The sequence below is a fragment of the Homo sapiens genome, chromosome 14 (genome assembly GCF_000001405.40).
Source record: "Homo sapiens chromosome 14, GRCh38.p14 Primary Assembly".
NCBI lineage: Eukaryota > Metazoa > Chordata > Mammalia > Primates > Hominidae > Homo > Homo sapiens.
In genome coordinates, this window is record NC_000014.9 from 87,630,374 (window position 1) to 87,657,817 (window position 27,444).

General features: G+C 40.3%; 1 long non-coding RNA gene across 1 annotated transcript; it reads right to left on the reverse strand.

Annotated features, from left to right (window-relative positions):
• Positions 1-4,005: 4,005 nt before the first annotated feature.
• On the reverse strand, positions 4,006-24,921 carry LINC02330 (long intergenic non-protein coding RNA 2330). Its single transcript, NR_146551.1, has 3 exons — positions 24,758-24,921; positions 5,033-5,150; positions 4,006-4,278 (listed from the first exon to the last, which is right to left on the reverse strand). It is a non-coding gene; the product is annotated as a long intergenic non-protein coding RNA 2330 (long non-coding RNA).
• Positions 24,922-27,444: the final 2,523 nt, after the last annotated feature.

The following is a 27,444-nucleotide window of genomic DNA, read 5'->3' on the forward strand; positions in this document are numbered from 1 at the left end:
CCTCACCCCCTTCCTCTTTTCACAGGTTCCCAAGTGCTTTCTCAAATATTCAGTCCATTCTCCTATCCTCCCTCATCCTCTCATCTCTCTGCAGTTACAATTCTCTTCCAGAAGTAGAGCTCTGCCCTTCCCAAGGGAATTCCAGATGGTCTTCCGATTTTTCCAAACTGCCTTCTCATCCCCTTATCCTGATTTGCACAACGGGAGCAGGCAAGAGGATCCCAAATTTCCCTTAGGCAGTGAATGAGGAAAAGGCAATGAAAACACTTTAAGATTTTCCTGTTGAATATACTAACTCATTAAACAACCCAAGAGCCTTTTGAGGTAGACTCAATTATTACAGTAAGTACAGGGCCTGAGGCCAAGCTAGGCAGAAAAGAAGGGATTGTAACTTCAGTCTCTTTGACTACAATTCAAGGTCCTATCCATGACAATACACTGTCTCCTTTTTTGTGCCTTTCACAAATAGGTTTTCAAAACAGGCTTCAAGAAAAAGTGCCAAACGGTGGCTTGATAGCTCCTAGATTTCAGAGAACAGACACAGGATGGTTGAGTGGATTTTTCAGTAAGACAGTGAATCTGTCAGACAAGCAGAGAGGAAGCCCAGACGCCCAGCCTTTGCAGCTTCCTCAGACAATTTAAACAGCTTTAGAAACTTTTCACTTAGGGAAATTAGAGGCTTAATACCAGCAACACTGAATGTTTCTCAGGAGCTTGTCTTTCTAGAATCTGTAGCAGCTGTGTGCAAATTAATCAGTGATTTGCAGGCGACACAGAGTGGAGATTGGGGAAACAGCTGGGCATATTTATGAAAGTTTGTCAGGGATGTAGCAGCGTGTTCAGAGGTAACTTCTTCCTTAAGTGTCATTTTGCTGGCAAAGAAAAGGAACAAGTGAGACATATCCTGCCTGTGTCTAGAGGATTAATTAAAGCCTGGCAGAAATCTGAAGCTGAATATCTCTTCTCCTTCTAATTTAGATGAAAATGTACGTGAGAAGGTCTGCAGAGCCAAACTGCATCAGGCATGGGCATAGTGCTGATGGGCAGCTCATCTGATAATGCCAGTGGCATTCAACTTTGAATGCGTGCTGCCCGACGTGGTGCCCTGCAGCAGATTGTGACACTCGGCCAGGGGTCTGATTTGAAGTACCATGGCCCAAGCCAGCCTCATCTCTGCCTGCCCCTCCCACTGTACCTTTCCTCTGATTCCAGCCTCCACCCAAATTCACAGAAAGGATGAAAGAAACCACACCAGAGAATCCGCAGTGGGTCTAAGTCAACCTAACATGCCATGACTCACTTTTTTTAAATCTCTAAATATATATGGAGAAAGCACAGACAATAAAAAGAAATCAACAGCACACACACTGAGAAAAGGGAAGGAACTCTTTTCACAAAACTCATTGACAAGCAGTGATAACCTACTTTTGGAACCTTTGTTCTGTGTTAAGCGCATTTGCTCACTTAATTTCACCAATTTATGTGCCTCTGTCATAACAATACCCTGCTGTTTCTAGAACACTTCCGATTACTGAACTGGTATCTTCTGAAAGGTGAATCCACTCCCATTTCTTGAACACTCAGGGGGAGACCATTTCCTAACATTTGCTTCAAAGCCAAATGTCAGGCCCTGTCAATTGTTTTACATTTTGTTTCACTGCTGGACTCCAGATTTTGCATTTATCTATTATTGAACAATTCAATTTTAGGATCTAATTATGATGTCAAGAAGTAACTAGCCTAAACCCAGGTGAGAAAACCTAAGGCATAAAACAGTGCAACTTCCAGTCTCATCGTTGGATGAAAGAGAGTAGCAGATGGAACCTGAGCTCCTCCAGTCCAGGGTACAAGGTTAACAAGAACTCTTCTGTAAGACTGGACACTGAGGAAGCCATTAGTTAGTTAATATCTGAACTAGAAGGAGATCAAGAAATAGAGTTCTAGCACAGGCCTAAAAATTGGGTTGCCAGATTAAATACAGGATGTCCAGTTAAATTTGAATTTCAGATAAAATGACAAATAACTTTTGAGTTCAATAATCCTAGATATTACATGGGACATGCTTTATACTCAAAAGTCATTCATTGTTTATCTAAAATTCAGATTTAACTGGGCATCTGTATTTTTAAATCTGGCAACCCTATCTGTTAAGAAGGAAAATGGGAAATATTTGGCCGTGTCTGAAATTGCTTCTGCAAAATATGACGGAGACAGTGGAAGACATCTCATTTCACGGACTCCATCTTGCTTCCATCCTCCAAGCTGTCCTTGTTCATTCCTGGGTGTAAGCTGAACTAACTTAAGGAGAAACTTAGTTTGTAGTTTACAGTTTAAACAAAGACAGTAACAGCCCTTTCCCAAAGCAGACTTCCTTCTTGCCTGGGGATTAGACTAACATTAGCTACAATATTAGAAATTATGGTTTAGGAGTCATGCAGCTGGAGGTTACAAGATTCTGACCCTCCATAAACTGCTCCTAAGATCAGTGCTTGAGATATTTTGTAGACCCTGCACTTGATGGATCAGTTGGCACCACCCAGATCAATTAACTGCCCCATCTGATCTTGTGGTCCCCACTCAGGAACTGACTCAGGACAAGAAGACTGTTTCGACACCCTCTGATTTCATCCCTGACCAGTCAGCATTCCTCGCTCACTGGCTTCTCCCACCCACCAAGTTATCCTTAAAACTCTGCTCCCTGAATGCTCAGGGAGACTGATTTGAGTAATAAAAAAAACTCCAGTCTCCTGCACAGCCGGCTTTGCATGAACTACTCTTTCTCTATTACAATTCCCCCATCTTGATGCATCGGCTCTGTCTGGGCAGCAGGCAAGGTGAACGAACCCCTTGGGCAGTTATGTGTCAAAAAAAAAGAGTCAAACTCTGTAAAATATTTGAAGAGATTTATTCTGAGCCAAATATGAATGACCACATCTGGTGACACAGCCCTCAGAAGGTCCTGAGGACATGTGCCCAAGGTGGTTGGACACAGCTTGGTTTTGTACATTTTAGGGAGGCATGAGACATCAAACAAATACATTTAAGAAATACATTGGTTTGGTCTAGAAAAACCAGACAACTCAAAGTGGAATGGGATGGTGGTGGGGAGGAGGCGGCTTCCAGGCTATAGAAACATTTAAACATTTTCTGGTTGACAATTGGTTGAGTTTGTCTAAAGACCTGGGTTCCATAGAAAAGAAATGTTCAGGTTAAGATAAAAGATTGTGCAGACCACAGTTCTTTTGAAGTCTTACAGTGGCTGTTCTTCGGGGGAATAGATGACAAATGTTTCCTATTCAGACCTTTAAAAGGTGCTAGACTCTTACTCAATCTCTTTAGGATTGGGAGGGCCAGGAAGAAAAAGATATAGCTATGTTAATAGAGATTCTTTACAGGTATAAATTTCCCCCCACAAAGGACACATTTGCAGGGCCATTTCAAAATAAGACAAAGAAAGATGTTTTGGAGTAAAATATTTTGACTTTCTTTTTTGTCACATAATATTATGCCAGAGTCAGATTGGAAAGTCACAATATATGGGGTTAAATAAAACCCATCTGATGAGAATGTATGGTTTGTAAGGCATGACTCTCCAGACACCTTAGATAGGAATTTGGGCCAGATAAAAAAATCAGAGCTTTGTCCTCAGCAGTCATATTAAATACAACCATAGTAGACAGCTCCTCTGGTTCCTGCCCACAGCCTGGTTCTGCCACACATTTTTGTGCATGTTCTTGCTCTTTTCTTTCTAACCAAAATTTATCTTTGCACCATAGATAGGTCTCATCTATTTCTGTTTCCCAACTTCTCATCAGAGACATTCCCCAAACTTAGGTTTCACATTAATATTCTACAAAAGTGTACCAGGGTTCTTTGGGGATTGCAAATGCAAAATTGGGTTCAATGTGCTGTGTTCTTACTCATTTTCTTAGCTCATACTAAAAAGTGTGCATGCTATTTTTTAAATGCATTTCTGTATCAATTAGGAAGACATTCAGCTGCACTTAACAGACAACCCAACTTAAATAAACAGTAGTTTAGTTTCTCACATACCAAGAATTTTGGAGATAGATTGTTTACAGCGTTGATTCAGTGGTTCAACAACATTAAGGTCAACTCTTCTGCTGTTCTCTCAGTCTTTCTTTTGTGATAGCAAGATGGCTGCTGCAGCTCCACCCTTTACATTTACATTCCAGTGAGAAGAAGGAAGAGTAGCAAGAAAGCAAAAATTTTTCTAGGACCCACTCACCCAGGTCCAGGTCACGTGGATACTCTTAGCTACAAGGGAAATAACAAAAGAGACAACAGGATCTCATGATCATGACCTGAGGTTCTGGGTGTGTTACTGTCTGAACACAATCAAGATCCTCTTTATAGGAAAGAAGGTGAAATGAATATTGAGTAGGTAACCAAACATGCCACAATTCTTTATCTTTAAATATAGTTTTATCTTCATCCTATTGGAAATATTTGTTTCCCTTACAGTCCAGGATGTCCCAAGAATTTAAACATTGTAAAGGATGCCAGCTACAAAGAAACCATTCCATTGTATTTTTGGGAGAGGATCAGTGCCTAGTAGACTGCAGAACTGACACAAAGTACTGAAGAAGTATTTGTTGCTGACTGAGGAGATGAATGAAAAAATGTAACTTGGATAAATAACAAAAGCAGAATTTTATTGTCATGACCTCCATTGTTGACCACAGTCTCTTAGTGATTACATTCTTAATTTAAAAGGCTTAATTTGGTTTTATTTTATCTGTATTTTATTCAGTAATACAGCTGACGCTTGAACAACACGGGAGTTAAGGATGCCAAACCCCTGCACAGTTGAAAATCCAATTATAACTTTTCAATCCCCAAAAACTTTACTAAAAGCCTACTGTTGACCAGGCGCCTCAGTGATAACATAAACAGTCAATTAACACATATTTGTGTATTATATGTATGATAAACTGATTCTTACAATGAAGTAAGCTAGAGAAAAGAAAATATTATTAAGAATATCATCAGAAAGAGAAAATATATTTACTAATCATTCACTGGAAGTGGATCGTCACAAAGATCTTCATTCTTGTCTTCACATAGAGTAGGATGAAGAGGAGGAGAAAGAGGAGGAGTCGGTCTTACTGTCTCGGGGGCAGCAGCAGCTGAAGAAAATCCACACATAAGTGAAACCATGCAGTTCAAATCCATGCTGTTCAAGGGTCAACAAGACATAAAACGTCCCTGTCATGCAATATGGGAGTTCAATATGCAAAGTATCCCCTTAGCTGGCTCCAGCTTGTTCCTTCCACAGAGATAACCAGTGTCTCCTGTCTGAGATCTCACCACAGATCTGTGCAGCACATCCATCCCTTTTTCTTCTTTTTGAGATAGAGTCACACTGTCACCCAGGCTGGAGTGCAGTGGCTCAATCTCAGCTCATTGCAACCTCCTCCTCCTTGGTTCAAGTGATTCTCCTGCCTCAGCCCCCCGAGTAGCTGGAATTACAGGCACATGCCACCACACCCAGCTAGTTTTTGTATTTTTAGTAGACAAGGTTTCGCCATGTTGGCCAGGCTAGTGTGGAACTCCTGACCTCAGGTGATCCACCCACCTCAGCCTCTCAAAGTACTGGGATTACAGGTGTGAGCCACAGTGCCTGGCTCTTCCCATCATTTTTCTATACACTGGACACAAATGCACATGTTACTTCTGGTTTTCTTTTAAATAAAAATTCACATAAATGCAAATCACACCATACACATTGCTTTTTGTTTTGCTTAGTTTTACTTCACAATAAATCCTGAGATTTGTCCCAAGTCAGCATAGTATTTTATTTTAGACATCCCTAGTAGCAATACCTCACTTGCATCTAGCACTTAACAGTTAAGCCCTTTCACATATATTGTTTCATCAGACCTTCACTACAATGATCATTATCCACATCTTTCATAGATAAAAAAATCTGAGGGTCAGAGAGGTAGTAAAAGTCAGAAATAAATCCCAGATTCAGCCACTCCCACCCCAGTGCTCTATTTCAACAACGTGTCTGTGCCCACAAACTCTTACTAAATGTGCCTTATGGCCCCTTGACATATGTTCGTCATTAAAACATTTTTGCTTGGGCAAGTTTCTGTAATCTTTCATATCCATGACCCCAAAAATATATGACCTCCTGATCTAAATTAATAGGAAGAGAGAGAAAAAAAAGGTAGTGGAAAAAAGGAAAGGGACAAAGGAAGAGATGTCTGGCAGTAGCTTTAGGGGAATTTAAAACTATAAGGGGTTATTTCTAGTGATATTTTTTACATACAAAATTGTAAAAAGGAGCTGTGAGCAAATGTCCAAAAGTTTCACAGAGCTGAAGTACAATCCTTGAAATCAGCATGGAAAATTCAGTGCTTGAATCTGACCTGTGGTCAGAATGCTTGGCACATGAAAACACACACACACACACACACACACACACACACACACGTGCTTCTAAAGAGAGAAAGTCTGTCCCAATTTCCCTCTGCCTCATGTTCCTGACACATGGCTTTACATTAGCTCCAAGCCAAACCCCAAGTGAAAGCTGGCTCTACGTTCATGTAGCAGATTCGGATTTTCTCTAATCCTTAAAAGGCACTGTCACGTGTGCTTCAAAACATCATAAAAACAACTTGGATTGCCTCTTCCAAGGGGCAGAAGAGAAAATCAATACATTCTGATTTTCTCCTCTGTTAAACTCTCAATGACTGAAACAGCAGTGTAGCTGGGGAGAGTTTAGTAGCTCAACAACCACATACTAAATTCTTCTTCAAGATTATAGGGCCTTATTTAGGTGTCTATTGGCAGAGCTTTAGGGCTTTAATGGGTTCAAAACTGCACCAGTAATCAGCAAAAATAAATAGTGCACTCATGTACAACTCATGTAAGTATGACGATCATTATTTGTGGAACCATCTGGCATAACAGATTTCCTCGTAGCATGGGAACTAAATGATACAATGCCATTAAAGTTAATAAACAAGAGAGATTATTAAGTGAAATGGTGCCATGAAATTGGTGAGTAAGGATTTCAGAGGCACTTTGAATGTTTCTCAGCTAGAAGACAGACCACATACTAGGTAAGATGGATGGAAAATCTCAAGGATTCAGTCATCCTTATTCCCATGTCCAACCCACTGGCAAATCTCATCAAGTCAATTGTCAAAAATTCATCTGGGAATCATCGACATTTTTCTTTTTCTTTTTTTTCTCACCCCTACCTTTATAAGGCCCATCTACTTTTTTCTGTTTCCACAGCCATGACCACAGAGTCCCTGCCATCACCACCTAAGACCTGGATCCCTGCAAGTCCTAGACTGGTTTATTTTCTTCCACTTCCTTTCAATGTACTCTTTACAAAGCAGATGTCATCTTATGTAAATGTAAATCCTGTCACTCATAGACTTAAAATCCTCCAATGTCTTTTTCATCTGTATTTGTTTTCTAGGGACTATCATAAAGTTCCACAAACTGGGTGGTTTTAAAGGACAAAAATTTATTGTCTTACAATTCTGGAGGCTAGAAGTCTGGAATCAAGGTGTTGGCAGGGCCACAGCCCCTCTGAAACCCACAGGGCAATCCCTCTCTGCCTCCTCTAGCTTCTGTGGTGTGCTAGCAATTTTTGGCATTCCTCGGCTCATAGAGGAATCTTTCTACTTCTCTAGCTTCAAATGGCATTGTGTCTGTGTCTTCGTTCATCTTCTATCTATGGTTGTCTGTCTCTGTGGCCAAATCTCCCCTTTTCATAAGGACACCACGCCTTTTTATTAGGCCCGCCCTAATGATGTCATTTTAACTCTATTATATCAATAAAGATGCTATTTCCAAATAAGATTACATTCTGATTCTGAGCCTCAGGACTTCAACACATCTTTTTGAGGGGAGACACATGCAACCCACAACATCAACCTAGAGCAAACCTGAAGAGCTCGCTTACTCAGTTAGCAAGGCCCTACCTGTCTGTCTCTCTAAGCTCACTTGGCCCTCACCACACTGGCCTCTTGACATTCCTCCAGCTTGAAGCTCTTGGCTGCCGCTACCTGGAAGGCACTTCCTCTGGGACGTGCTGCCCCCACTTACCATTAAGTGGTTCCTCACTTATTACTGCATCAGCAGAGGCATGTCCAGGTTTTATGGGGTCTGAAACTTATGCACCTTTGGGAATCTTTTATGAAAAAGAGCACACAGCTACACATAAAAACACATCTGCAGCCTTGGAAGGGGCGCGGGCACAAGAAGGTCCCTGAAGCCCATGGTTCATTCTCTTTGTGGTAAAATTGCTTCTGATCCTGGGAGGGGGCATCTTTGAGTACCTTGATCCAAAGAAGTCCCCACCATGTATTCTCTAGTTACCCTGCTTTATCTCCTTATCACACTTATCGCTAGCACTTATTAAATCTAAAATTATCTTAATAACATATCTATGTTTTTTACACGTTGTCTCTGCATGCCAAATTAGAATCTCTAAGAAAGGAAAAGCTTATTGATTTTTACCACTACAGCCTAGATCCTAGCACACAGTGTCTTGTATAGAGTTGGCACTGAGTGAATATGTACTGGATTCAGAAATGGATGAATGAGTGAATAATAATAGTGTCAATAATAACAATAAGTCCTGCAGCACTACTTTGTTTCAGGCACAGCCTGCCATTATCCCCCCATCTTACAGGTGAAGAACCTTCCCTGCTCCTAGGTTAGTAGAACTTACTCCCAGCTGGATGCTGGTCAATGGCAAAGCCAGTATTTGCAGCTAGCACTCTGGATCTAGACTCCATGCTCTAAACCCTATACTATCCTGTGTAACATCAAGGAAGTTTGCTTGGCTGACTCAGTGTTCAGCTCTATGGTCCAGAGACAGAAGCAGGAGATTCCCATTTCATAGGGATGAGGATTTTAAAGAGAAGATCATGTAACTTGCCGTCCACACCACACACATAGAAAAGGGACTTTCGTCCCAGGGCTCTGAGAGAGCAATGGAGGCCATCTGAGGAGTTCAGCTCCACAAGGTCATCTCCACCTAACCTTGCCAGGCCAGACATTAAATTATGAGAGATCAAGTCCAATATGCAACCCAATAGGAACTTTCTGTGGCCTCCCCAAGGCTTCAGAATTATTATGGGACTTTTGCTATTATGATATGTGTGCCCCATCCTCTGAGTGGTATGTGTGTACACGCATACAGAAATGATAACAGCTGATGTGAAACATTCTTTAGGTGTGACCTCCTTTGATGACCCATGGGACTTTAGTCACATCACTCTTTATCCATTGAGTTTTAGAAAGAGGAAAATATTTAGTTCTTAAATTTAAAAAGTAAAATCAATAAAGACTTTCAGATTCTTCCTGGCATAAAACAAACTCTCTTTGACTTCTCTCATTGATACACTCAACAGGCCCTGTGTGCTTTGGCTCTTGCTATCATAAATAAAGCAAAAAGAGAAGTCCACAGAGGTCTCTTTTTTGAAGCATAGCAGTATCAGACGATCAACTTTATTGGAAATGAGTTGATGAGACAAGAGGGCAAAGATGATGGGAGAAAAAGGAGAGTACATATTTTTAAGCAAAACTCCCCTGTATTATGAAATATCCCTATGGAGCCCTCCTTTGAAATAACCCAGCAGATGACCATCCCATCCAGTACCACCTGCCCTGCTTGTTTTGCTCTGTTCTGTTTTGTAATCTTTCTTTAATCCATGATAACAACCCACAATCTCAAATAGCTGGAGGGGGGCATTCTCTCTCACCATCATCTAGGCCAAAGGATGAATTTTATTCCCAGAATAACTACATTCATAGAAGTGATACCAGAAAGATGAAGTGAAAAGCATGAACCCCAGTCAACCTCAGTTTTATATTTCCTGATGTTCTGATAAGAAGAAAACACCATTGGACAAGGAGAAAGATCTTTTTTTCTTTTTTTTTTTTTTTTAACAACAAGCAGTGGGGGAACAAGGGAAGACCACTTAAATCCTTTGCTCTTCCTTTGGCTAGAATTTCCCCCATTGCCTGAGATGTTTGTTATTTATCAAATAAAAATATTAACTAGGTCCCCACGCTTATACTCTGAATTTAGAATATATCATCAGAGAAGGTGCAGAAAGAAAGGAAGATTTTTTTGTCTTTTCAAATTGTTGTAATCAGTTCCTAGTGGTAAAGAAGGTTTTGCTTCATGTAGTAGGTTATTTCTTATTGTTGGAATAGAATTGTGCTTAAGGATATAAGATTCAATAATTTATTTTAGGCTTGACTTTTTCTTAGCTCACTGGAATCACAGCTGAGATTTGTGCACTGCCCAAGCTCAATAACTTGTTCCTCCCTGACCCAGAATCCATGGAGATTGTAACAAAGGCCCCAGTCTAGGCCTTGAATATACACACCTTGGACTTTGGGCTACTGGTGTTGCAATGAATTCAATAGAAAACATTCTATTCTGAGAGCAGGGCTCAAATACTGCAAAGTGATTCCCTAGTAGGGTCATTCACATTATTCCTCATGCCACTGCACAGACTGTGTCACCTCAATGGGTTTTGATGGACATGGCCAACACATCTCTTTCAGATGAAGGTGGCACCCCTTTTTCTGCTATCAAAAGGACTTTACAATGCAGCAGTTTCTCATAAATTTAGGAGTGTAGGGTCCTTCTGCCCATGATTAAATTGGGCCCAAGGCAGGTCAACACACCTTTATAACCGTCAGGCCTAGAATGCTGTATCCAGATGCTCTGGCAGTACATCTTGCACAAAGTCGCTGCCGGTTAAACACCAAAGCAAAACAGCAGATGGTGCTTGGATTCACTACATTTCTCTTTGAAGCTCTCCAGATTCACAAGCTGATGGAATCATTCTCTATTTTGAAGAGTAGGGTCCTTGACGGCAGGGGCTTTTTGCTTGTCCTTATATTTCCAAATTCCAACAAGCAACACTTCAATAAATGTGTATGCATTCATTCATTCATTCATTCATTCAAAACATGTTCATTTAATTACTATTTTCCAGAATACAGTGGTGATCAAAACAGAGTCCTTGCTCTTCTAGAGTTTAAGAACCAATCTTGATGTCAACTGAAGATTTATATAAACTGGCTATTACAATCTGTCATAAGAATTCTGAAATAACATACACAGGGCAATGAATGACTGACTGACTAGATAAAGATTCAGACTCTTACTTTCCAAGGTCCAGACAGCCATTCTGTGGTGTGAATTGAAAAGGAAAGGGCTTGTGTTTTTAACAACTTCATTACTTCATTCCAAGGCACCAGAATACAGATGGACAATCCTCTTATTACATTAAATGCATATGCATGGCTTTTGTTCCAAAACTCTCCCAAACACAAACACAAACAGAGCTCTGACACCTCACTGATGTGATAGCTTATGCATATGAGGGGAGAACAACTATTAAATTTTCCATCAAATAATTTAATTTCTATTAAATCTATATCTTGACAAAGCCTCCACCAATACAAACTTTTTGCCAAATGGCTAAGAATATACTTTGGACATTTAATACAAAATGGACAGTTTCAAATAGCTTTACACATGTTGAAAGTTTAAAAAGTTGTTTGTTAAGCACTTTAGTTATAATTCATTTAAAAATCCCATTATATTTGGTTACACAAGAGTGGCTTTAATACACTTAAAGATGCAGTACTCCTTAGCTGTGACATATTTATAGTCTGAACATTAAAAGGTTTACAAAATAAGGCTATATTTTCTCAGTGTCAAACATCCCTCAATGAAGACAATTATTCAGTCTGCCTGTTTGTAATTAGGTATGAAATAATTTATGGTTATGAAGATAAGTGAGCAAAAATTTCTGGAATAACTGCATATTGTATTTTATTATTAAAAGATTTTCATAATCTTTCCAGGGTTTGAGGAGTCATAAATTGCCCAGGTCGGATTTCCACTGGATTTCTCTTGGAATTAATAAGCATATGGATCTGATCTAAGACTGTGTGTCAAAAATATTGAAGAGAATGGCTTCACACAAAGCTGAAAATGAAATGAGATTGACATAGCTGACTTTGGTTTGGAGAACAAGAGCAAAGTGCTGCCTGTAGTCAACCCACAAAGACAGAGTCTGGCAGGTCTAAGGGACAAAGAACACCCTACTGGGGTCAGAAATGCAACCTAAGTCCCAATAACCCAGGGCTGGAGAGCTTTTCCTCTTCCACACTCCCTTCTTTTTGACAAATATTAAGAACACTTTCAGCATGTTATCTCTATGCCATAACTACACATTCCTGGGATATGTAGTTGGTTAAAAGCAAATTCAGTCTTTTTCCTCACTACTTCTGCCAGCAGAATCACCAAACACAGGATACATCAGCCTGTTTCTTCTATTTTTTTCCTTCAATTCAAAAGGAGTAGTGAAAGTATGGCACTACTACTGTTTTTATCAAAGCATTATTTTGTCTAATATGTTAGTCTTCATAACTTCTCAAATATCCATTTTTCCCCAAACCTAAGCAGATATTGTCTAATTCTCCTAATATTTTGTAGTTCCTGAAACTCCAAAAATGTTCTACGTAACTTACATTGTCTTTTCAAAGTTGAAATGAATTTAAGAAACTTTGTAGAACACATTTATGATGTTCCCAGAAATTCTTGCAATTTCCAATAGCTAGTCAAAAGCTGGAACACACAGTTTGACATAGTACAATCCCAACCCCTCATTGCCATGCCGTCCTGGAGAAAGCCTCTATTAAGCCTAAATAGAAAAATTGCCAAGCCAATTAAGTGTGAGTGAATCTGAACGGGCTACGTGGAGATAGCCTCTGAACAAATCATTTCTGCCAACTCACATTCAGTGAGTACTCACAGAGTACTTGGCCCAAGGCCAGAGATGGAGATTTCACCAAATGTGAAGATGCAGTTACTAAACAGCAAATCTACTCAGTTGTCAGAGCAGAGCTGCCGGCTCTACCTCCTTTCACAAGTGACCCCTGACACTTTCAATTATGGGAGCTCACCAGCACTCTGCAATCAACTTTTCTAGGGGAAATATATCTTAACTTAAAACTCCAAAAAGTTTGAAACTAGGCTACCGAACTAAAAGGATGCATTCTGAAATGCTTTGCAACAGCAATTTTTTTTAAGATTGTGTAGACTATGCTATCGACCAGGTGCACTGAGCTGAAGCTAAGTGAGGGTCAAAAGACAGAACAGGTGGCATGAGGCCACATCTAGCAGTCGGTCTGAAGTACATGACAGGAAGCAAAAGCCTCCTTGGTCTGATCAACTCCAAGAGACCATTTAGTATGATCTTAATTTATTCTTTCATTGATATTACAGGATAATGGTGAAGAACCAACCTATAAAAACAAGCACCCACAGTCTCCATGAATTTCTCCCACATAGGGGTGGCTTGCACATGTAAGGTACACAGGTATGGCTGTGGAACGAATGAAATATTATTGTCAGTCTCTCTGCTTCTTTGCTGAAGATTCTTTCTATTTGAGGATAACGTGCAAAAGCAAAACAGCAGAGGCATGAGGGAAAGAGGGAAAGTCAGGTAAATCGTAAGATAAAAGGAACCCAAAATATCATCTAGTCTAACTCCCCCTGCTATATAATAAACCTATCCACAATCACATTCATCAGGGTTTGTTTGAACATTTCCAAAGAAATGATAACGTTAAAGAGTACACATTTACTTCTTCACAGAGTAGACCATTGCTTTGGTGGATAGCTCTAATTATTTTAAAGCTCCTTCTTATATGGAGCCTGATTTCTAACCTGTAATTTCTAACTGTGGTTCAAATTATGACCACTTAAAGCAGAATTTGTCAGCTTTCCTTCACAGGCTTTCAAATATATGAAGGCAGCTGTGATGTCTTCCCCAAATTTTCCTTTACCTGAGCGAAATCATCCCATATCCTCCAACCAATCACTCAACCATTCAAGTGTGGTTTCCACATCCTTCATTATCCTGGTAACCATCCAGATAGTTAATGACAGTCTCAAAATGCAGCACCCAAATCTGACATCCATACTCTACACATATTCCTATGGTACCGTGGCAACTGACAGAAATTTCTTCATGCAGGGTTAATGTTATGAAACACCTTTTAAATTAGCCAAAGCAGGGGTCCATGTTTTCTGCTTGCTCTATGTCTTGTACTTAATTTACAGTGTGGGCCACTAGCCATTAGGGAGGTGTGGGGAATGTGATTGTTGCCAATAATTGACCATTCCCTGGTTCAGGAGATACATAAAATTCTAATGGAACCATTATTCTTACACCCACAGGATATATAACAAGAACAATAAAGTGATGCATTTGCAGTATCTGCTTTTTTTTTAAAAAAAAGATGCTTTATGAAAATATCCATCTATATTTTATCTCGCATGATGATGTACAAACTAACTACCTCAAAATGAGATTCTTATGTTAAGTGTTAAGAGGGGAACATACATAGCCTTGCAGGCACACACTTTTCCAGAGCACACTAACTGCTGAAACATCTCATTAATGCATCACTGTCATAGAGCTAGATGACTTTGGGCATTGTAATACTGGTTCCATGGCAACCTATTGTCCTTGCACATTTATTTGTTGAATTGTTTGTTGGCGCATGGAACTGTGCCATAACTAGAAAAGTAAGTGTTCAGTCACCAAGCAACTTTAGTGATCAGATCGCATAAGGCTCTTAAAGTTAGAGTGGTTTTATACCATGTACAGACATCTATAAGACATTTTTAATGTATTTCTTTTTTTAAAAAAGTTTAATTAACAAATAAAATCGAACATATCCCAGGTGAACAATGTGATGATTTGATTACATATGCATTGTATCCTGATTATCACAGTCAAATTAATTAATATCCACCACCATCCATAGGTATACTCTGTATGTGTGTATGTGTGTATAGTGAGGACACTTAAAATCTGCTATAGAATTTCAAGTAAACAATGCAGTATTATCAACTAGAGTCATCATGATGTACTTTAGATACCCAGAACTTATTTATCTTCCAGTATCTCCCTATTTTTCCCCACATCCCAGTCCCTGGCAGACACCACTCTCCTCTCTGCTTCTAAAGTTTGACGTTTTTAGATTCCACATATAAGTGATATCATACTGTATTTTTCTCTCTGTGTCTAGCTTATTTCACTTGTATAATGTCCTGCAGGCTCATCCATGTTGTCACAAATGGTAAGATCTCCTTCTTCTTATAAGAATAATATTCATATATATATCTTTACACACACACATACATATACCACATTTTTTAGTCCACTCATCTGTCAATGAACAGTTTGTTTCTGTATCTTCACTACTGTGAATAATACTGCAAGGAAGATGAGGGTGCAGATATCTCTTCAAAATGTTTATGTTATTTTTTGTGCACATATACCCAGAAGTGAGGACTCCAGATGACAGTGCCTTGATCTTGGACTTTCCAGCCTCCAGAGCTGTGAGAAATAAATTTCTGTTCTTTTATAAATGACCCAGGCTATGGTATTCTGTGATAACCGCACAAAACAGACTAAGACAAATGACAATCACAACATGTGTTATAGTTACAAATAATAACTAATTATAGGTGATAAACAGTTATAGATAATAACAACTAACATCACTGAGGACTTACTACATTTCAGCTCCTTTTTCATACATTTAGAGCCATCAGTTCATTGTAATGTTGTGAGAAAAAAAATTTTTTTAAATAAGAATCATTCATCTTTGGAAACTTTGTAAAAGGCATTCAATACACTTTATAACCTGAGCTTATGATTATGATTACCTGTGAATGGTTCAGTTTATAAAGATGATGTAGTGACACATGGTGTCATGCCCCTGAAATAAATGGTCTCACCATTCCACACACAAAATTTTGAACTAGTTCTGTTTTGTGTTTGTTCTGTCTTTCCCTAAGAAGGCCACTTCTTGGCACTCCTGGGGTCTCAATCTCTGCTTGTTCATTTATTTCTCTTCTCATATAAAGACTAAGGAGCCAGATAACTAAGACTAATAGAATTACAAAGCAAATGGGAAGGCTTCCAAGACAGTCCCTAAATCAAGTAAATGCATGAACGTTAATATCCGAACTTTTTAATATCTGTTCACAGACCAGGTACTTTTTTCTTCTTATTACTCTTCTTATTGGATATAGACACGAGCCAGGAGACCTGTGGATACCTAAGTGTTAAGTATTTTCTGCAGTATATCACTGCTTCCTTTTGATGACAGTCTTATTGCTGCAGACTTGGCAATCTTATTAAATAATCATCTTCAAGTGAAAGCGCTATTGAGATACTGCATTTGATGCAAAGAGTTAAACTCCTAGCCACTCTCACCGCTATTCAAAAAACCCATTGGTATTTTTCAAGGTTAGCATTTCTCAAATTCTTTTGACATTGAGAATTTTTAGTTACAATTTTTGACACAATGATGAACTGGTGCTTATCAAGTACAATGTGCACTTACAGTGAATAGCAGAAATTATTTTTAATTTCTGATAGTGTGAAATTTAAAAATAGAAATTAAATTACTTTATAAGATAATACAAACTGTATTATTCTGTTCTCACACTGCTAATAAAGACATACCCAAAACTGGGTAATTTATAAAGGAAAGATGTTTTGTTTTGTTTTGTTTTGTTTTGTTTTGAGATGGAGTCTCACTCTATTGCCCAGGTTGGAGTGCAGTGGTGCAATCTCGGCTCACTGCAACCTCTGCCTCCTAGGTTCAAGTGATTCTCCTGCCTCAGCCTCCTGAGTAACTGGGATCATAGGCATGCACCACCTTGCCCGGCTAATTTTTGTATTTTAGTAGAGACAGGGTTTCACCATGTTGGCCAGGCTGGTCTCAAACTGCTGACCTCATCATCTGTCTGCCTCGGCCTCCCAAAGTGCTGGGATTAGGAAAGAGGTTTAATTGACTCACAGTTCCACATGGCTGAGGAGGCCTCACAATCATGGAAGAAAGCAAAGGAGAAGCAAAGTCATGTCTTATGTGGCAGCAGGCAGAAGAGTATGTGTAGGGGAACTCGCCTTTATAAATCCATCAAAGTTCATGAGACTTACTCATTATCATGAGAACAGCACAGGAAAAATCTGCCCCCATGATTCAATTACCTCGCACCGGGTCCCTCCCATGACGTGGGAATTATGGGAGCTACAATTCAAGATGAGATTTGGGTGGGGACATAGCCAAGCCATATCACAAGCATATGTTGAAATTATAAGACAAACAACTACCTTGAATAGATGGCATCCATCAGCTTAACCAGTAGCAGCTAAATTTTGCTTAGGCAGCATTGAGTAGCTTAAATATCTTGCATAAATCCATCAGATAATTTCTCAGGCAACTCTTTTTTTGGATCTGACACATCATTCTTTAATGGATGATTGTAGCTTAAAAAGAACTATCATATATTGTGTGGGGTAAATATTGCCAATCATATCCCTAAAGTAAACACCCCAGGGTGGTCCCCAATGAGTCACTCTATGTATAATCCCATGCCCTTGAGTGTTGATGGAACCTGTGACTTGCTTCTAACCAATCTGACAAGAGTGAAGGGACTTTGAAGAAGCCATTAGGTGCACAATCAGTCAATTTTGAGTTAATAAAAAAGGAGATTATTCTGAATGGGCCTGACATAATTAGGTGATCCCTTTAAAAGCGGGTCCACACCTTCCCTGAAGTTAAAGATTCAAAGTAGCAGAGACAGACACTTTCTCTGTCGCTAGCTTGAAGAAGCAAGAGGTTATGAACTCTATAACCCCAGGCAAATACATTTTGCCAGCAACCTGAAAGATCTTGGAAGTAGGTCCTTTCCTAGTTGAGACTTCAGATGAGTTTGAAACCCAGTTGACACCTTCATTTCAGCCTTGTGAGAAACTGGGCAGAAAACCGAACTCAAGTATTCCCAGACTTCTGACTCATAGAAGCCATGAGATAATAAATGGATAATTGGTTTAGGCCACTAAGTTGGTGATGATATGTTGTAGAGCAAGAGAAAATGAACACATTATCGGATAGTGATTCCCTTTTTGTGGTGCAATCTGTATTTGTAGTTGAGAACATTGCTGCACAGCTAAAAACTGCTTTTACCAGACTTATCTGAAGTGAAATGTGGCTATGTGACTAAGTTCTGACCAGTGAAACTTAAGTGTAAATAATGTTGAGATATTCTAGAAGCACTTTTTAGTGAGAGTATATACTTGATATGGTTTGGCTCTGTCTCCCCATCTAAATCTCATGTGGAATTTTAATCCCCATGTGTCAGGGGAGCAACCTGGTGGGAGGTGACTGGATCACAGGGAGATTTCCCCCGTCCTGTTCTCATGACAGTGAGTGAGTTCTCACGAGATTCAATGGTTTAAAATGTGGCACTTCCCCCTTCTCTCTCTCCTGCTACCCTGTAAGACATGCCTTGTTTCCCCATTGCCTTCTGCCATGATTGTAAGTTTCCTAAGGCTTTCCCAGCCCTGAAGAACTGTAAATCCATTAAACCTCTTTTTTATAAATTACCCAGTCTCATGTAGTTATTTATAGCGATGTGAAAATGAACTAATACATAAAATTGGTACCAGGAGAGTGGGGAACTGCTATACCTGAAAATGTGGAAGCAAATTTGGAACTGGGTAATGGGCAGAGGTTGGAACAGTTTAGAGGCCTCAGAATAAGAGAGGAAGATGAGGGAATGTTTAGAACTTCTTAGAGACCTGTTGAATGGTTGTAACCAGAATGCTGATAGTCATGTGGACAATGAAGTCCAGGCTGAGGTGGTCTCAGATAGAGATGAGGAACTTAATGGGAATAGTTCCAATAGCAAGTCACTCTTGCTATGCTTTAGCAAAGAGACTAGTGCCATTTTGCCCCTGCCCTAGAGATCTGTGGAGCTTTGAACATGAAAGAGATGATTTAGGGTATCTAGCAGAAGAAATTTCTAAGCAGCAAAGCATTGAAGATGTGACCTGGCTGTTTCCAAAAGTGTACAGTCATGTAAGTTCACAAAGAGATGGTCCAAAATTAGAACTTATGTTTAAAAGGGTAGCAGAGCATAAAAGTTTGGAAAATTTACAGCCTGAACATGTGGTAGAAAAGAAAAATCCATTTTCTGGGGAGAAATTCAAGGCTGCATAAATTTGCACAAGTAAAGAGGAGCCAAATGTTAACAGATGTAACAATGGAAAAATGTCTCTAGGGCACGTCAGAGAACTTGGCACCAGCCCCTCTTGTAACAGGCCCAGAGGCCTAGGAGGGAAAAATTGGTTTCCTGGGCCAGGCCCAGGGCCCTCTGCTCTGTACAGCCTCCTGAAGTGGTGCCCTGTGTCCCAGAAGCTCCAGTTCCTGCTCTGGCTAAAAGGGGCCAAGGTACAGTTCAGGCCACTGCTTCAAAGGGTACAAGCCCCAAGCCTTTGTGGCTTCTACGTGGTGTTAGGCCTGCAGGTGCACAGAAGGCAAGAGTTTGGAGCCTTTGCCTAGATTTCAGAGGATGTACGGGAACACCTGGATGTCCAGGCAGAAGTCTGTTGCATGAGCGGAGCCCTCATGGAGAACCTCTACGAAGTCAGTGTAGAGGGGAAATGTGGGGTTGGAGCTGCCGCACAGAGTTCACACTGGGGCACTGCCTATTGGAGCTGTGAGAAGACAGCCATTGTCCTCCAGACCCCAGAATGATAGATCTGCTGACAGATTGCATTGTGTGCCTGCAAAAGCCACAGTCGTTCAACTCCAGACTGTGAAAGCAGCCACAGGGCCTGAACCCTGCAGAGCCACAGGAGTGGAGATTTCCAAGGCCTTGGGAGCCTAACTCTTGCTTCAGCGTGTCCTGGATTTGAGACATGAAGTCAAAGGAGATTATTTTGGAGTCTTAAGATTTAATAACTGCCCTGCTGGCTTTCTGACTTGCATGGGGCCTATATCCCCTTCGTTTCGTCCAATTTCTCCCATTTGGAATGGAAGCATTTACCCAATGCCTGTAGCCCCATTGTATCTTGAAAGTAATTTACTTGCTTTTGATTTTACAGGCTCATGGGTGGTAGGGATCTGCCTTGTCTCAGATGCGACTTTGCACTTGGACTTTGGGGTTAATGCTGGAATGAGTTAAGACTTTGGGGGACTGTTGGGAAGGTATGATCAAGTTTTGAAAAGTGGGAAGACCATGAGTTTTGGGAGAGACCGGGGGTGAAATGATATGGTTTGGATCCGTGTCTCCACCCAAATCTCATGTGGGATTGTAATCCTCATCTGTCAGGGGAGGGACCTGATGGGAGGTGATTAGACCATGGGGGCAGACTTCCCTCTTGCTGTTCTCACGATAGTGAGTGAGTTCTCACGAGATGTGATGATTTAAAAGTGTGGCACTTCTCCCCCCTCTCTCTCTCCTGCCACCATGTAAGACGTGCCTTGCTTCCCCTTTGCCTTCTGCTGTGATTGTAAATTTCCTGAGGCCTCTCCAGCCATGCATAACTGTGAGTCAATTAAATCTCTTTTCTTTATAAATTACCCATTCTCCGGTAGTTCTTTACAGCAGTGTGAAAATGGACTAATACAATACCCTTCTTCTTCCCTTCATTCTGCAGTATGAAATAAGATTTTGATGGCTGGATATTCAGCGGCCATCTGGGACCATGAGTATTGAATCTCCATGCTAGGTGGAAAAGTAAGCTGGATCATAGGTGATTTCATAGAGTTACTATAGCAGCACTGGAATTCCACCTATAGGCTTCTTTTATGTAATAGAGAAACAAATTTCTGTTTAAGCCATTGTTCTTGGAATCTGTGTTACTCTTGGCAGAATCTAAATCCGGTATATTTTACTTAAAAATATATACCTATATTTGAAATAAATTAATGTAAGTATTAAATAAAATGATGTGGTTTGTTTGTTTGGGTTCAACTATTAGCAGCATCTTTCAGAGAACTAGATTATGCAGCATGCTGGTCCAAATATTAACACTGACTAATACTGCTGGTGGAAATGAGATACCACATTAAGAAGCAATCAAGAGTCAAATATGTAAAAGAAGTTGTACATGAAGGTACACAAGTTGGCCCTTGTATTCAAAATATTAAAACACCCTATTTTGTTTGTAACTGGAAATAGTTATTTAAAAACAGTAGTGCATTTGCACAATTGAGTCCAGCTCTTTTTTAAGTACAACAGAGCAATATTAGGCAGATGAGACTTGGTGACCACAAATGAGTGTGGTACCGGGGCTCTAAGGGAAGAAGCAGATGTCCAAAATCATCATTCTGCCTGAAAGTTTACCAGTCAGATTGCTATCCTTTCATTTTAAGGTTTCTGCTCCTTGTTAATTGCAAATATCCATGGCACAGGTACTACTGTGAGTGTGCTTGCTACAAACAAGTAGGTGGGAATAGATGAGTAAAAGATGGGGGAAAAGGCACAGTGGTCCTTGGCAAGGACATTCAAGCTCACAGGCTCATGTTGGTGATCACAAAGGGGAAAGGAGAGTCTCCAAATATAAATAGAGTGCAATTCACAAATGTTTACTAAGCTGTGAATCCTTTCAATAAATGATTAATCGATAAGTCGCAGGCCCTGAAGATACAATGGTAAACAATAAAGACCCACGATAATGTTGCCTATATCAGAGATGAGACACCACGCCACCCACAATTTCCAGGCTGATGCCATTTAGGTTATTGAATTTGAAAGCAAGATGCATGTTAGTACCTCTTTAGATTTCAAAAATCTGGATTTCAAAAGTAAGTCCTCAAATTGTTAATCAGTTGATTAGTTAATTCAGTCAAAAATATTCAAACTATTTTATGTCTCAGAATAGATAGGATATTTAAAGTGTAATACATAAATTATATCAATACTGGGGGGATTGCTAAGGTTGTCCACATGTGCCAGCAAAATCATCTATTTCTGGTCTTTAGTCAAGTCTAAGAAAGTTCATACTGACATATTAGGAGGAAATTATTATACCTGCTTATACTGAAAAAGAAAATTCAACCATAAATATTGCAATACTATAAGATGCTATAACGTTCTGCAAAACAATCTGTTGCACATTTCTACTTGGAAGGTAGCATATTTCATGATTATGCACATCCATGACAGAGATAAGCATTTATATGGTAATAACTGCAATATGGGCAGCTACAGCCTTTCACTATAAGCCATGAGCCTTTTCATCAGAAAAAGCCACTGGGGCACAATTTATCACCAGAAAGCGTGTTTGGCTGGCTTAGATGTTCAGAAAAAATAAATATTTTCTTCATGCACATGTCTTAAGTAGTAGCAGGAGCATGGTTTGTACCTTTACATAAAAAAAACAAAATAAATGCCAGTGTTTAGGTAGTCAGACAAATAAATATACAAAAAAAAGGAGTAACAAGTTTCCTCTTCTACGCCCATACCTCAGTCAACACAGAGTCCCATGTGCAAGTGGTACAAATGCCACCATAAAGAGTCAGTGACTATAGAAAGGGACTGAAGTGCTTATTTAAAATCTTGCTATCACAGGATTAAGAGAAACCTGGGTCTAGGACTGAGAACTCAGTAGTATAGAACAGAAGAGGAAATAGTCATCTGGGATGACATCAATAATTGTTTACAATAACTCCACTGACATCAATAGTTGTTCTGATAATAATTCTGGTGGCTAATATTTATTGAATGCTTACTAAATGGACTAATTATCCTTCTGGAGGCTTTATGTATATTTTCTCATTGAATTCTGAAACATATACTATCACTTCAGGGCTCCCATTCACCCATTTTTTTAATAGCTGGTTAAATATAGGTTTAGAGATATGGTGACTTATCCAAAATCACAAAGTGGCAGATTTGAGTTTTGGACCTAATTGTGCTTGACTCCAATGCCTATGGGTTTGTCACAAAGTGGTGGAGAGAAGGCCATTATCTTCCAGTGGAGCCTCCCTGATGCCCAGGCTGGTGACCAGAGGGTAAATGCAATACCTTCTGGACAGTGGCGATATGCTGGCATCCCAGGGAGTAGGATTATATGAGAGACATGGCTGGCTCAAATGCCCATGTAAACCTCAAAATCAGATTAGGGATGAAAAGATTAAGTGAATATTTCCTGAGCATAGATGAGAAGTGTGAAGCAGGTTCACTGTGCACTGGTTACCAGCTTGTGTCAGTCTGCTGAGACAGGCCCCACTTAAGCACAAGTTACATGAAATGGATATATGATTTACATATGGGAACAATAGACAAAGGACAACAGAAGCCTAGAACTCATTGCAAGTTGGCCCCCCAAGGCTCAGGAAATTGGCCTGGGGTGAAGGGAATCTCCTCATCTGCATGTACTTCACTTACACTGCAGCTGAAGGACCTCAGAATGTAGCCTGCACTGGGTTATACATCCCAGGGACAACATGACAGGCTGGGCTAAAGCACCAAAGAGCATCCTATTTCTAGGGAGAAATGGAGCAGACCCTGAGCTGTTCTGGTTAGTTCCTGCCTATCTCAGGCTGTTGCATTCTCAGCACAATCTATAGTTATTCCTGAGAACTACAAGCAAGATTGAAGAGGGAACAGGACCAGTCCAAGGCCATCCAGAGAACTGCGTGACAAGGAACTCCTGGGAATTTTGGCAGCTGGTGGGTGGGTGGAAGAGGGAAGCTGAGGAGGGGGTCCTTGAGGTCCTGCAGCTGTGCAGGTGGGGGCTAAAGGGATGGCAAAATTGAGATAATGTAGCCGCATGGCTACCAAAATAAGGATGTTCATATTTATCAAGTGATTCAGTAAAACCATCTGGAGCTTCAGCTGTATGCTCGTGCCCTTCGCACTGGAGAGAAGACAAAAGCACCTTTTTATTCCTACCCTCAAATAGTTTTCTACCTGTGTGTGTGTGTGTGTGTATGTGTGTGTGTGTGTGTGAGAGAGAGAGAGAGATGTGCAATTGACTATAATGTACGACACAGAGGCATCACTAGAGTCAAAGGCCACTTTACATCTTAAGCCATCCATTCTGGAGGCATTAGAGACATTGCCAAAAGTGAGGGTGACTATGTACATCATTTTGGTAATTAGGAAAAAAATGTGCTATGAAAAAATAGTATGTCATTTTTACCTCTATTTTCAAGCTCTGATTTGGGGTTTTCCTCTTATTTTTATCCAGTGTGTTCCTGCTTCCCGTTAATGCCCACGCAGGAGACTGACTGCTTTCTGGCAAGAAGAGGGTAAGCACTGTACCTGTAATCTGCATTATTAGGTTCTGTCAACTGACCCCCTAATTCCAGAAGTTAAATAAAATATAGATTTTTTGTTGTTGTTGTTTATGAAAGTGACAACTCAGGTGTCTCTGGTTTGTTGGTTTTCCTGAGCAGCTCCACTCCAAGGGGTGGCTCAAGGACAAGGTTCCTTCCAACATGGCACCACTTCTTCTCCAGATTAGTGCCATGCAAACTTTCATTCACAGGCCAGTGCCAGTCCATGGCTTGGATTAGCCCAGGAGCCGCTTATGAATGGTCTCAATGAGGGAAATACGGAAATTGAGGGAGAGCATATGGAAACTTTAGAAACTGGCCATTGCTACAATATTCAAAGTTCATGGTGAGTGGATTTTTCTCACTCAACAGAGTATAGACCATTTTGGTTGTGGTCAAACTCACCCAGCACATGTGGCTTCCTAGTGGATTGGAAATTTAAGAAAACACAAATAAAAGATTGACAGCTAGAAAAAGCTACATTCTATATCCTCAGAATCCTCATGATGTCACTGGCAGATTGGAGAAAGAGAACGGTAAGCTGCCCATGAGAAGGTTTTCTATTACCCACCTGGCAGGGCCCATGTTACTTCTGCCCATTCCGTTGGCCACAACTCTGTTACATGGTTGCATCTATTTGCATGGGAGACTGGGGCATAATCTGATTGAATGTCCAGTAAGAAAATGGAAAGAAGTTGGCAGTCATCCATCCTCACTAAACCTATTGCTGCATTTGCTACCGGTTTCTGTTGACCAAATAATGCAGGCATGAAAATGAGTGATAGTTCTATGACTTCCTAGCCGGAATCTTACCACTTTGAGTGTTCTTGATGGAGCTGCCCCAACAGAGACTTTAAATCAGGACTGATTCCTGTCTCATTCCTAACTCACCTTCTCTATTTTCTTAATTTCGAGCGCTCGAAAACCTTCCAATAAACACCCTTCTGCTTAAGTTAGCCAGGATTAAGTTCTTTGTTAGGAATTTTTAAAAATCCCAAAGCTAATACAGGAGAAGTGGGAGGTAAGTAGGGAGAAAGAAAAAGGGAGAGAGGATGGAGAGAATGGCATCTAGCTAGGAAGATTCTTTAAATAAACATATTATGACCCACTTACTTTGATTCAGAACTGCCATTTGAACAAAGTCAGTTCTATAGGTCATGGACGATTCTTTACCTTAAGACGATGAGTTCTACAGTACCTCAATCACTCATGCATCTCACTGAACAAATCAATTGCATTGATTATGCTAAAAGGTGTAAGTTGCTTTGACATGCACAAATAGGACAGAATGTCTGAAAGGCAAATCATTTTATCCAAATCAAGGTTTTTGCATAATTTATGCTTAGCGACATTCTTTACCAGAGGGACTTTCATGGTCTAACCAAAAAAAAAAGCCTCAAATCAGATATATATAGATATATATATCTATATATATCGATATATAGAATATATATAGATATATATTCTATATATCGATATATATATTATATCTATATATATAATATTTTAATGTAAATTCTCCCAGAATGGTAATGGTAACCTGGAGTATAAAGGGGCAGTGGCTTAACAAGAAGAAAGTTTTCCAGAACGAGGGGAGACTCAGCCACCGTATTATGTCAGCAGCCCTGGTGAACCCCAGTGATGTTTTGTTTTATTTTATCTCATGCTCAATTTGCCATCTATAGCCCCACTCTGTGTAGAGGAGCACATTGACTGGGCTCTCTGCCCTATTTTAGCACTCCTCAGACCTCTCTGAAAATAATGCTGCTTTCAGACAAAGTCCAAAGTTCTAGGTTATTTCTTTCTTTCTCTGCTCCACAATCTGGTGCTGACCAACATCTTTCTCTGGATCTCCAGTTCAGTGGGTGGAAAACCCAGCAAAAAATGATCATCTGGATTCTAGAAGCACACACGGGTGAGTCTTACAGGACTTGGATGATAGCAAAGGCACATTGGCTGATTTTCATATCTGAGTAAAGAGATTTCTCAAGAGCTGTGTTCATGTTGTTGTCCCATATTTAGCTCTACTGAGTCATTTCTTGGTGCTTTTAATGTAAGAGATTTTTAGCACATTTCTCTTCTAGTGGGGCTACTAGCCTTTGCACTCACTCTCATTTGCTAAATGTCAGGGATTATTAGCTGGAGGCCTGCAGGTAGGAGGTAGTCTAGAGAGGTGCTTCACTTGTTCTATGCAATGTTTTCTTAAAAATTAACTTAGAGGCCGGACGCAGTGGTTCACACCTGTGATCCCGGCACTTGGGGAGGCTGAGGCGGTTGGATCACAATGTCAGGAGTTCAAAACCAGCCTGACCAATATGGTGAAACCCCATCTCTACTAAAAATACAAAAATTAGAGGGGCGTGGTGGCGCACGCCCGTAGTCCCAGCTACTCAGGAGGCTGAGGCAGGAGAATCGCTTGAACCCAGGAGGCAGAGGTTGCAATGAGCCGAGATCATGCCACTGCACTCCAGCCTGGGTGACACAGTGAGATTCCATCTAAAAAAAAATGTAACTTAGATTCCAATGTTTTTAAATTGGGAATATTTCATGTAGATATCTGATTTCTGGAATCACTAGTGGATTTGGCGATACTGGGTTTGCATTAAAGCATTCTCACATGCTTTCACCAGCCAGAGCCTTAGAAAGAGCACACTTTAGACAATGTGTGCAAGTTCCAGTTTACCAAAACACTCAGCATCCCCTGCAGTCTTTCTCTAAATCCAGGAATTTGAGAAAAGGCAGATGGCATCTGGGCAGTCTGAGTAAGCCCTAAGATAGGCAGGTCTGACTTCATGAAGGGGTGAAGGGCCACTGCCTCTTTAAAAAAAAATACCACTTTCTTCACCTTCAAAAGTCTGAAATCCTTCTAGTAAGTCATAATGTTTCCATTGAATATTGCCAGGAGACTTTTAGGGGTCAAAGCCAGTAGGTGAGGATACACAGTGCCAACAAATATGCTCAGATCCTTTCTTGGAGACTGTTTGAATAGTAAAGACGTTAGCAAAGAGGGTTCTAGGTACGAAATGAAGCCAGACATAAGCACAAGGCACGTAGATGAGGTCACAACCATCTAAAGCCAGGAGGAAGGGGCTTCAGGAGAGGTACCCCTGCCAGAGAACCATGTAGAGACCTCAGCTAACACAGACAAGAAACCCTCAGTCTATGACCTGAGTGGCAAACATGATCTGTGAAATGGTAACATCTAAATTTTACCCCTCCTGCTCTTCAACAAATACTCATTAGACAGTTCAGTTAAGC